The 12,965-nt window shown below is 40.3% G+C and overlaps 1 protein-coding gene across 9 annotated transcripts in view; it reads right to left on the minus strand.

Annotated features, from left to right (window-relative positions):
- The window catches only part of TMTC1 (transmembrane O-mannosyltransferase targeting cadherins 1), a 283,947-nt gene that overhangs the window by 247,090 nt on the left and 23,892 nt on the right, over positions 1 to 12,965 (minus strand). For 7 of the 9 annotated variants that reach the window (NM_175861.3, XM_047429634.1, XM_017020003.2 and 4 more), the window contains exons 3-5: positions 10,802 to 10,875; positions 7,807 to 7,983; positions 3,764 to 3,970 (exon numbers count right to left, since the gene is read on the minus strand). In NM_175861.3, coding sequence (NP_787057.2) covers positions 3,764 to 3,970; positions 7,807 to 7,983; positions 10,802 to 10,875 — 458 coding nt within the window. The remainder of the gene's footprint in view (positions 1 to 3,763; positions 3,971 to 7,806; positions 7,984 to 10,801; positions 10,876 to 12,965) is intronic. The other 2 variants (XM_017020005.2, XM_017020004.2) reach the window with 1 other exon arrangement.

The raw sequence follows: 12,965 nt of genomic DNA on the forward strand, positions 1-12,965 counted from the left end.
GCCATGATTTAAACACTCTGTCTGCAGAGTCAGAGATCTTAAGAACTATGATAACGTTGCCTCTTCCAACTTTTATTTGCTTTACCTGATCACCTTCTGACAAAAGTACAAGCACAATTTTCAAAAGTAATTGTAACAGTAATCAAATATATACTCAAAGGTATGACACTGTTTTTTGTTTTTTGTTTTCCAAAGAGAAAACATATATGACAACTTTCCATTGGGGGAAGATGGTCCGGGACCATAAATACATTAACTTAGTGAGAATCCGGCCCAATTCCAGCTGTGCTATCTGCTGCTCTCCAATCATCACTCTTTCTAAAATAGCCTGCTACCTGAGGTTAAAAAGATGAAAAAGTAATCTACAAAGCATGTCACCTAGCTCAATGTATTAGCACCAATACCCCATACTGAAGCAAGTCAAGAGGTGTCTCATTTGTGGAACCCGAGATGACTACAAGAATCTTTGTACCTGCTGAGAGTTCAATGGAGAGGCCAGCTCCACATAGAAATCAAACAAGCACCCTGCCTCTTCCCCAAAGCTTAGCCCTCGCTCTGGACTCTGGGCTTTAGAGCACAGTAAATGGTCAAAGCACAAGTTTAGGAGTCAAACAGTCTGGGTTCCAATCCTGACCCTACCACTTACTATGTGAACTTGGACAAGGTTTTTTAACCTCTAAGCCTCAGTTTCTTCATAGCAATGGGAGTTACAACATCTACCCTAAAAGTGATACCACAGTGGTTGGATAGAATAACACATGGGACATGCTAGCCCCCTTTCTGGTACATAGTAGTTGGATAATAGAAAGTTTTCTTCCCCCTACTGAGGGACCTTCTCACTGGTGTGCTGGAACTGGCTGACACTGGTTTGGAAGAGCTGACAAAGTTTTAGGAATTTTACAAGTCGCTTACTTAAAAAACAGCCATTATTAAAAATTCAAGTAAATAAACTTAAAATTAAATATGTCATATTTTAAACAAGGTAGTACATATTCAAAGCTCACTACTCTTGAGTTGGCTTTTTGCTTCACTTTGCTATTATCTATGCTTTTGAGGTTATTTATGTCTATTGCATCCGTCTGGTAGAAACATGGCATCATGGCGGACTATGACAGCTCTCACAACTCCATGGTCAGTGAAGTCACACTCGTAGCTTGCAATCAGCCACAGTGGGAGTATTTACATTAGCAAACACTACAAATCAGGAGTCCCGTTCTTTGGAGAGCCAGTTATTAAACAATTAGCAGCATACCAGAGGAATTCATATTTCTTCCTACCCTTTCTGCTCCAGCATCATTCATCTCTCCTCTCTACAGGTTATCTAAGGATACACACACACACACACGTCTGAAAAGAAAAATGAACATTCCTCCCACTAACAACCTTTTCCCCATTTCTTCATTGGCAAATTTATTGAAAATGTTCCATCTATGCTTAATTTCCAACACTTTCTTATCATCCACTCATCAACTGATCCATGTCACAAATATTTAAGCAGCTGTTATCGGCCAGACACTGTGACAGGAGCTGGCAACACATCTATGAGACACCCTGGCATGAACCTGCCCTAACCAAGTTCATAGTCACATGGCAGCCTAGCTTCTGTCCCACCTTAAACATCTCCAGTGATCTCTGTACTCCTTTAGCCTCCATTTAAAAAATTCACGATTTCCCCAATTGTTTCACCTTCTTTCCCTCCATGGCCCTCAACAAAAATGTCCAGATTTTCTCAGTGTTTTAACCCTTTATTCCTCTTCCCTTTTCCTTGGGAATTTCATGCATTATTATGATTTTATTCTCTCCCCAACCCCCAGAAAATCTATTACTCCCCTAATTTTTCCACTTAGTAACTAATGCCACCATCCACCCACCTGGTTAAGCCAGAAACTTGGAAATCCTTGTTTCCTTCCTTTCCCTCTCCCCATCATCACAAACATTAATTAGCGAGTCCTATTGGGTCTGTATCAGAAATGTATCTCAAATCCACCTCATCTCTTCATTGCAGTTTCCATGACTCTCAGCTAAGACCCCCTTTCCCTCACTCAGCTTGTGTGAAAGCCTCCTAACCCTTTTCCCTCCTTCATGATTGCCCCCAACAGCCTGCACCACGAAGAGGCCAGAGGGAACGTTTTTAAAAGAAATGTTATCATAACTGTCTATACACACACACACACACACACACACACACACACAAACTCCAGTATCTTCCCATTCCCCTCAGAATAAAATCCAAACCTGCTTCCACAGCCAGCACAGCCCTTCACCTGTGCCCTGCCCCCTCCTTGCCCTCACCCCTTCTCCTCCCAATTTGCTATGATCCTCAAGCCTGGAACCCTCTGCCAGATCCCTGCACATCTTCACTGGCAATTCACCTCATTCAGGAGGATTTGGAAGCCTTCCCTGGCCAACCAACCCAAATGCCCCCAGGCTAAGCCATCACTCTCCATCACACCCTGCCTAACTCTCTTCTGAGCACTCACATTGTTCAGTCAGTGTTGATTATTTATTGTCTACCTTCCTCTACTAGAAGAAAAGCTACACAAGAGCAAGGACCTTGTCTTTCTTATTTACCAGGACACTCCTGGTGCCTAGAACATGCCTGGCACTTGTCAGCCCCTCAACAGATATTTATTGATGAATGAACAAAAGAATGAATGAATGGGGCAAGATAAAAAAACAAACATAGGCAAAGGCAAGAATAACTGGAAACAAAGACTGCAGAAAGAGGGAGTTTTAAGGGACTACACAGAAGAGTAACAACAGCAATCTGAAGTGGTAAAGTGCTAATCTTATGAATGGAATTTCCATATGTTAAACTAATTGAGAGGTCATTAGGCTAAGGTGACTCTGGCACCCTGCATCCCTACATCAGCAGAGAAACTCAACTCAGTGTAAATGGTAAAATGAAACCAAGCTTAACCACTAACTAACCTCTAACTAGGGACTTTCCACTGGAATGATCCACATAGGGCTACTACTCCCCTTTAACCAATCAAATATTTCCTTTGCTCTGTTTCTGCGTTTGCCCTATAAAAGCTTCCCCACACCCTGTCCCAGCAGGGGAGCCCCAAAGCACTGGCAGTCTGGAGCTGCCCAATTCATTATTCACTGTCTGCTCAAATAAACTCTTTAGCTTTTTAATGTGCCTCAGTTTATCTTTTAACATATATCTGTTATATTCTGACTTGTCTGTGGCCTGAAACATTTTAGAGACAGCCTAATTTAGGGAGCAACACCTGTGCTGATAAATCCATGCTAATTTTCACAGCTAGGTCAAAATATCACAAAAAAGGAAGAAAATAAAGACAGTCATGTGCTGTAAAGATTTTCATACATCTTCAAAAACATTTCAGAAAGGAAGAGTCCTCTGGGTTTCCTCCCATATTTGGACTGTAATAAATTCAGATCAAACACAAAGAGCAGAGAGAGAGAGGCAGGAGAAGGGGAGGGAGAACGTTCTCCTCCCCCAGGAAACGTAGGGCGCCCATCTTCTGATGCCTGAGGCTGCAGGGACCCACACCCCATCACAGGCAGGCAGCAGGGCTTCCACTTGCTTCCTCTAACTACTCCTTTCTTATCCATTAGAATATAGGGAAGGAAGGGAGGGAAATAGGGACAGGAAGAAGGGGGTAAGGAGGGAAGCATGAAGAGAGGGAGGTCACAGTGTGCTGACTCAGTGCTTCACTTCCCCAGGCATCCCAGGCTGCACTAGGTGATGCTGGACATTGAAAACATGCAGGGACCAAGAAACCCAGCCCAGTACCTCATCATGGACCACACAGCTCGTGGGGACACTGGGAATCCACTGCTCTTGGGTTCTGGTGGCAGTGGAGAGTGGCAGCCACCCCAAGCTCCTTTGTGAGGGAACCGCTGCTGCTTCCCATTCTCCCGGTGAGGATGGCCTGGCAGTGAGGAGGGCTGGGGGCTCCCGGGCTGCTGTGGGCTGCGTGGACAGAGGGCCCCATTGCTCCTGTTGTGCATGGAATTGAGGGAAAACAAAGTCAACCAGAATGACAAGGCTTACAACAACCGATAGCAGTAAACTGCCCCACCCACAAGTCTTGCTTCCTGGAAACAACCATTCTCAAGTCTTTAGCCCTTGTGTTTCTGATATTTACTGCCATATTATTAAAACAACATAATTATGAATGTTTTTTCAATTTTAGACCTTATCGTATTGACCTAGTATAGAACACTGTAACTCAGTCTTTGTTAGATGGCCACCAACACACACACACACACACACACTCAAACACACACTTCTTCACCCCTCACCCTCCAAATAGGTTTCTCTCAGAATATTTGGTTGCAGTGGTATTAAGGATTTACATTATTATAATCTTGTAAGATATTGCTCATAGCTGAACCATCCAATTAATTACATTTTTTTCTGTTATGAATTCTCTGAGAAACCACTCAGTTATGTGAGTAACTCACATAACCCACTAGATGGGCAAAAATTTAAACATCTGATACTACCAAGGGATGATCAGAAAGTGAAACAAAGAGGATTCTCATTCCTGCTAGAACCATTTCAGGAGCAATGTCTCGGGATGTAATGCAGTTAACGTGCATCTATCCTTTGCCCAGCAACTACACTTCCATGGCTACGCCTGAAAGAAACCTTCACGTATTTGCACAAGAATATATGCACAGAAATTTCACTGCAGCTTAGTTTATAATAGCAAAAATGTAGAAATAAACTAAATTCCAAACCCAGAAAAATGGATAATGATAATTAAATACTATACAGCAGTTAAGATAAATGAAATACAGCTACATATATCAACACTGATATATCTCAAAAGCCCAATGGTAAATGAAAAAAAAAAGCAAGTGATACCATTTATGTAAAGTTTGAAAGTATGTAAAATAACACTTTTGCTATTCACTAGCATGTGTGTATATGAAGTAAAGTCCTAGAAACTATCATGGAAATGAAAAGTGCCAAATTCAGGATTGTGATTCCCTCTGGAGAGAGAGGATAAGGACTGTGGACAGAGAATGTTATTTTCTAGATGTTGGAAATTATATCCTGAATTTTTAAAAAAGAAAGATAATTTTCAGGAGCTGATTTTGTACTGAAAATCTTTCCTCCTAAAGATGATGTCAAATAGAAGAAATCTCATTCCATCCATGTGGGGCCAATCTTAAAATTTAGGAATAAACTGCACTTGTAGGAAAGTACTTGCAACATTTTGTTTCTATTACTGTTTCTTTCCTGCTTCCTGAATCATACGATGAAAGATCTCAAGAACCACCTAGTGCTAAGATGTTTATTCTAAATTAGCAGATAAAGTAGGGACTGGGGAGTAGACCCCTAGGTGCTTGTGTAAAACTCTGTGTATATGTGCATTCCTCTGGGGACATAACTTTGTGAAATTCTCAAGAGTCCACGACCCCCCAGATACTCAGAACCTTTGAGCTGTGTAACTGTCATGGTGCCTGAGCAGCAGACGTCCTGCGAGGTCTCCTGAGTCCCTGTCATATGTTCCTCCCTGGAAGCAATGGTGCTCCGGGCTAACCCTGTGAATCTGGAGCCACGCGGACATGGGTTCAAATCTTGGCTCCTCTTGGGCTGGCTGACTGTGGGGAGGATACTTTCTGTGCCTCTGTTTTCTCCTTTGTAAAATGAGGATAAAGATTGTTGCAAGCAAATGGCATGGCACAGTGCCTAGCACAGGGCCCGCCCTTAGGTGATATCACCCATCTTTGGCCAGGTCTCCGTGTTACATCCTCTGGTTCCTTCCTACCACTTTTTACAACTGTAATCAATCACTCGTCAAATTACTTACATAATGTCTGTCTCCACCAACATCTTAGATGCTCTTTGCGGGAAGGAACCATATTTGTCTTGCTCTTGGCTAGGCAGAATGAGTATGTGTTGAACGGGTGGACAAAAGCATGAAGAAAAGAATGAATGCCTCCACTTAAGCAGCACTACCGGATATGAAAGCCAGAAGTTTCTTTTTCTTTTTGTTTTGAGACTGAGTCTCCCTCTGTCACCAGGCTGGAGTGCAGTAGCGCAGTCTTGGCTCACTGCAATGTCCGACTCCCTGGTTCAAGCAATTCTCCTTCCTCAGCCTCCCGAGTAGCTGGGATTACAGGCACATGCCACCATGCCCAGCTAATTTTTGTATTTTTAGTAGAGATGGGGTTTTACCATGTTGGCTAGGATGGTCTCTATCTCCTGATCTCATGATCTGCCGGCCTTGGCCTCCCAAAGTGCTGGGATTACAGGCGTGAGCCACCACGCCCAGCCTAAAAGTTTCTTTAAAAAAAAAAAAAAAAAAGACCCAGACTGAGCTGCGGGACTTGTATCAGCAGTATTAATCCTCCCAAAGAATTTCTAGCCATTTAGTATGATGAAGGTAAAGAAAAAAAGAGACAAGTATCCCTTTTGAAAAAGGCCTGGCTCAACAGTGACTACATGAAGAAGAAAGAAAGAGGTGTAGGCACCAGTGGGCTGGAGAGTCCCAAGATCAGAGGAGACATGACTTTCATGACAACATTAAAATAGCTCTGGACTGGACCACGTGAGAGAACGCATCTGCAGTCAGCTGTCTTATCTTTTTGCTGTCAGTGAGGCATAGCAGAAAGACATTAGGAGGTTGAGACAAGGTAGATGCAAGAAGAAAGTGGAAAAGGGGTTTACAGGTTGTTCCCTAAAAAGTAAGATGGGCAATGCAATTACTCCCACTGGTCAGAGGATACGGAGGAAAGGCAACCTCACATAGGCCAAAGGGAGGGCCTCTGGCTCACGGTTTTCTTGGCACGAGTTTGGGTCAAAGTGATTATTTGGCTCCAAGTTTTTACAAGCCTCTGAGATTTACCGAGAGCCAACAGAGCACTACACTCTTTTTAAATTATCCCCAACTATCACACTTCCAGGCAGGAAGGTGATCAGAATTTCCTGACTCATCTCAGCGTGTTGCCACTCAATATCACTGCTCTTATCTTTATGTCAAGAAGTATAAAGAGGTAGGAAATGGGATTTAAAAAGCAGGATTGTTTTTTCAGATAAAATTCTTCATTTGATACGGCAGGGGAATAAATTAGCCACATCTTTTAAAAGTTTAAAAGTAAGGACCTTATAATTACTGAAAAATGGGGCCTGCTTGTAAAATTACTGGTAATTATGGATTTGATGGGGAAGAAAATTATAGTATGTGCTTGAACTTTTAATATGCCTTAGTGATTCTTATCATCTATAAGCCACAACATAAAATGAGTGTGCCTTAAATTTTTTAAATAAATTAGGCTACTAAATAAGCTTGTTCATTAATTTGAATATGACGTGTACGTACTCCTGTATGGTGTAGACTGGCTCTTTGTGGAATTCCAATGGGTGCCTCCTAAAACTCTTAGGTAACAGCATCATTAGAAGAGCAGGAAAAGGGGCTCTTTGATGGATAACACTCATGCAAATGCAGGGATTCAAAGCAAGCTGTGAAAAACTGTTACCATTTGCAATCACTATTTTTATGAATCAAGATTTTCTCAGCAGCATGCAACCAAAACAAACCAGCAATATAAACTTGCAATTAACACAGATACTTTTCAATTCCAAATCTGGGGCTCACAAAAACTTCATAGTCCTCACTGATTTATACAAAAGTGTGAAGCATTTGAACATATATAATGCGCTTATCTTAATGAAATAAGCCTTGTTGATTACGTGACAGTCTAAGGTGAGATGACATTTAATAAAGTGTTATATTTTTTAAATGGAAGTTTGGAAACTATTAAGTAATTTTTCTCTGCCCATGACATGCCATTTGATATCAAAACTGTAAAATGACTTACGACTTGTCTTGCTTGTTGGAAAGGGAAAAGAGGTCATAAACCAAGCACACTCCAAACACCGTGATGCCTGTCTCTTTCACCAGCATCGCACAGGTCCCCAGAAACAAACTGAGCAGCAAGAAGAAGGGAGACACCGTGGAAGGGAAACTTCCCCCAACACAGCCCTGATCCAGACTCCTGAAAAACAAGTTGGAGATTCTTTTAATCTAAGAAAGAATATGGTCTGCTAAGAAATGCCACCTCTTAAAGATAAGATCTAATGTCAATTTCATTGCATTCTAAGTAATTAAGCAGGTAAGTAGAGATTTCTTAAAGAGCCTTCATCCCCACAATACTGAATTTTGTACTTAAATTGCAATATACACAGACTACGGTATGTAACAAACAAATGAACACCAAAAAGCCATTTAAAATTCTACCAGAGAGACATACTTAGTCATATGAAAAGATGTTTAAGTGAATACATTCTAAGTGAATAATCGAGTTACTAAACTATATGCATAAGCTCAGGGGCCAGGTTCCCTGGGTTCCCTGCTAACCACAGCCGTCAATTAACAGGATAATATGGGGCAAGTTGCTTTACTTCTTGGTGCTTCAGTTCCCTTATGTGTGAAAAGGGATTATAGCGTTGTAGGGGGGATTAAACGAATGACTTGTCACACATCAAGTGTGTATCACCATCATCATTATGGTAGTGAAGTGTTTTATATGCTTCCATACATAAAACAAAGTTGCCAGTGGATATATATGCCAAAATATAATAAGCATTTCTCTCTGGGATGAAAATACAACTATTTTAACCTTTTTTTCTTTTGGCTAAATTCATTTAGCCAAAATATTTAAATTCATTTTCTATGAGCATATCTTAGGTAAAGTTTATTTTTTTCTCAGTTTAATTTCCAACAAGGATTTTCAAAATCTCTCCGGTGCTGTTAAGCTTTTGTTTCACCTTGTAAAACAGAGCGGGCCCCCTACCAAGAGACATCACTGTTCCCTTCAACAGGTACCACACCTATTGGCTCCTATTCCATTGAAGTAAAGGCCAATGTTTCTGTAGTTGAGACACCTTCTCCTTAGTGTTCTTAGAACAATTGCATAACATTATATGCAGAATTTGCAGTAGAGAGGCATTTTTTTCTATTGAGTTGGTCTATAGCTCAAATTTCTGAAAGTGAGAATGGCATGCAAAACCAATCTGTAATAACATGGCTCATTATCATACAGATATGGATACACTGCAGGCCTAATCATGCCCCCAAATATATTAACCACAAAGAACAGGCCTAGAGAACAAGTTTAAACTCCAAAGCAATTATTACTTCTATTCTAATGCCAGAATGAACAAGAAACAATTAATTGTTAAATTTTGGCTTATATTTTCAGATTTCATAACACCACATCATATGATCAAGAATGCAGTAGGAAGTTACAAAGCCAGGAGCAGAAGACTTACACTATGCTAAGAAAATGTTCCACCCTTTAAACAAAACAAAACTTCCTAAGACTTAATTCATTTCATTATTGACACAAGGTCTAGATTGGTTTGTAACAGGTTTCTCAATCATAGCCCCACTGGCATTTTCTGCCAGATAATTCTTTGTTGTAGGGACTGTCCTGTGCATTGCAGAATGTCTCTTCTGCAACATCTTTGGCTTCTACCCACTAGATGCCATGAACACCACTTCAGTTGTGACAACCAAAAACGTATGCAGATATTGCCAAATGTCTCCTGCAGGTAGAGGAGGTAGTGGCTAGGACGAGGAGGAAAATCACCCCTAATTAAGAGCCACTGGTTTAGAACAGTGTTCCTCAGTCACTGGGCTTTGTAAGACTATAGGTCAATGAACTGATCCAAAGATCAGGGCCACCAAATGCTTAATCAGGCATCTCTCCATGAAACTGGGCAACATGGTTGACTTGCCCCCCTTTTCCAGGTTGTATTAGTCTGTTTTCACGCTGCTGATAAAGACATACCTGAGACTGGGCCACTTACAAAAGAAAGAGGTTTATTGAACTCACAGTTCCACATGGCTGGGGAGGCCTCAAAATCATGGTGGAAGGCAAGGAGAAGCAAGTCACATCTTACATGGATGGCGGCAGGCAAAGAGAGCTTGTGCAGGGAATCTCCCATTTTTAAAACCATCAGATCTCGTGAGACTTATTCACTATCATGAGAGCAGCACAGGAAAGATCCACCCCCATGATTCAACTACCTCCCACTAGGTTCCTTCCACGACACATGGAAATTGTGGGAGTTACAATTCAAGATGAGATTTGGGAGTTACAATTCAAGATGAGATTTGGGTGGAGACACAGCCAAACCATATCACAGGACATGCTCTGAGCTGCCCCCATTCACATTCTCTTTTTAATCCACTCCTTTCTCTATATGGACATGACATGACTCAGATGAGAATCTGATTGGTTTAGGGTAAAGGTGTAATATAATGGGAAATTATTTTAAGGCTTTTCAGTTTCCCAATGCAAAAAACTTCTGTCTTTTGATGAAACTATATGTAAATTGGAAAACCACAGTCGAGAAATGCTACTTTATACTCAGCTTTGTCATTTTAAGCTCTGAGTTACTTTGGTGAGGCTAAGAGAAAAAGTATTAGGAACAAAATGAAAAGGAAAAATTAAGCAAATTATAGGCAAATAAAAGAGAACATTGCATCAAATACATTTTGGCTTAGAGCGAAGATTCCAAATTCACTTCTCAGTAAGAAACTACAAGTAAAAGGAATGATAAAGCAAGTGCTTGGGTTCCCAACACTGGGAAAGCAATCCCTTTAAGGTGCTACAGTGTGGTTCAGAATGGGGTTGGAAGAGAAAACGGCCCAGCACTGGACAAGCAGAGAGTTTCCTATTCCTGGTCCCTGGAAATCTTGCTTAGCATTTCACAACCAGAAGCTTCTCTCCTCTCAGGCACATGCTCCCAGTCTACACACACGGCACAGTTGCGATCACAGAGAAGGGCATTCTTAGCTACACATACCTGTTGTACGAGAGAAAGGCCAATAGAAACAGCAGACACGCTAACACGTCCGCTCTGCCAACGATCCCAGCCACCTTGGAAGTTAAAATAATAAAAAATGAAACTTCAGACAATTACTTTCAGAAAACTATTACACAAATCCATTACAGAAATGTATTTGTTGTTAGATAAATGGAAGATATAATAAAATAGAAATCTCACTGTTCTTCAAGTTCTGATATATGGCTAAGCACCTCTGATTATCATATATATTTAATAACGAGTTTATGTAAGGAAAAAAGAGGATGGACGGAAGGGGCAAGATTTCCACACTTTATTTTTAAGCTCTCAGAGCGTCAATTCACGGCATCAAAATTTATTCATGTATTAACTTATTCAAAAAAATTTTTGAGCAATACTTGAGAGTCAGACACTGTGTCCTTCTGTGTACCATGCTGCTAATGGAGCAGACAATATTTTTAGAGAACTAGAAAAAAGTAAGTTGAGAATCAATACTTTTAACAAGAATGGGGCCGGGCAGGATGGCTCACATCTGTAATCTCAGCACTTTGGAAGGCCGAGGCTGGCGGAACACTTGAGTTAACGAGTTCAAGACCAGCCTGGACAACATGGCAAAACCCTGTGTCTACAAAAATATACAAAAATTAGCCACGCATGGTGGCACATGCCTGTAGTTCCAGTTACTCAGGAGGCTGAGGTGGGAGGACTGCTTGAGCCCTGGAGGTCAATGCTGCAGTGAGCTGTGATCGTGCCACTGCACTCAGCCTGGGTGACAGAGTGGACCCTGTCTCAAAAAATAAAAAAATAAACAGGAAAGGGAATGAGTTTGAACTCATGATTGCTATATGTGAGTATATGTGTATGTGCATGTGTGCATATTTTTCTTAGCTCTATCACTGAAAGGGCCTATAAATATAAAACCTCAGTAGCAAAGGGCCATCTTGGCACTAACCACAAACCATTTCCCCACGAAAGAGAACACCAGCTCCTTGGAAAACTGGCTGACACCAGGGCTGAGGCTGGGGAAATCCAAGAGGAGCTTGGATCATCTCGTGTCAGAAAGTAAGAAAATGCTTATAAAATGACAGTCAAAAGGTCATAGAAGCCAGGACAATGGGATCCCACCGAACAAACTTAAGGCAATTTGAATATTAAAATAAATGGTACAATAATATATTATAAACCATTGAAAATGAAATCCATGAGTCCATACTAATAATAAATACAGCTATGCATTCAATAACAACTTTCAGGTCAACAACGAGCCACATATATGATGGTGGTCCCACAAGATTATAATACCATATTTCTATTGTATATTTTCTATGTTTGATATGTTTAGATACACAAATACTTACCATTGTGTTACAGTTGCCTACAGTATTCAGTACGGTAGCCTAAGAGCAATAGGCCATAGCATCTAGGTTTGTATAAGTATACTCTATGATGTTTGCACAATGACAAAATCACCTAACCACTCATTCTCAGAACATGTCCCCATTGTTAAGCAATGCATAATTGTATATACATAAATGAATGAATGGATACATATAAATGTACATACATATATACAGCAAGCAAGTGAATGGGAAAGAAAGGAGACCTCTTCCTTCATTAAAAAGCCAGTTAATGAATGTGGAGGGAGCAGAGGAGTTGGGAAATAACCATTTTGCTTCCAGAAGAGTGAAGACTGGAGCAAGCAAGAAATATCAAAAATATCAATGGATGCTAAACCTAGGGCATGAAAGTTTTTGAGGTGCAAAGTATTAGTAGGACTTCAAAGTGTCTATTTACTAATTATTAAATGAAAAAACTTAAAAAGAACACTATGGAAAAAATGCATTATATTGCACTACGTCTTAACTGTGGAATCAAATTAAAATCACCATTCCTGAGAAGGAACCATCATAACCATCATTTATGCAGTATTCTAGCAGGGACGTATAACCTGAATATAATCATGAGAAAACATCAAACTCAATATGAGGAACATTTGATAAAAATATAAATGAATATATATTACGCTAACAAATTATAAATTTTATGTGTAGCAATATTTTGTAGCGTTACATTTTATTGCATATTAATTTATTCTAATGTATATTATACCATGATTCATAATTATATAACTCATTATAATCAATTATAATACTGTATTTATTAT

This window comes from Homo sapiens, chromosome 12, assembly GCF_000001405.40.
Source record: "Homo sapiens chromosome 12, GRCh38.p14 Primary Assembly".
Taxonomy (NCBI): Eukaryota; Metazoa; Chordata; class Mammalia; order Primates; family Hominidae; genus Homo; species Homo sapiens.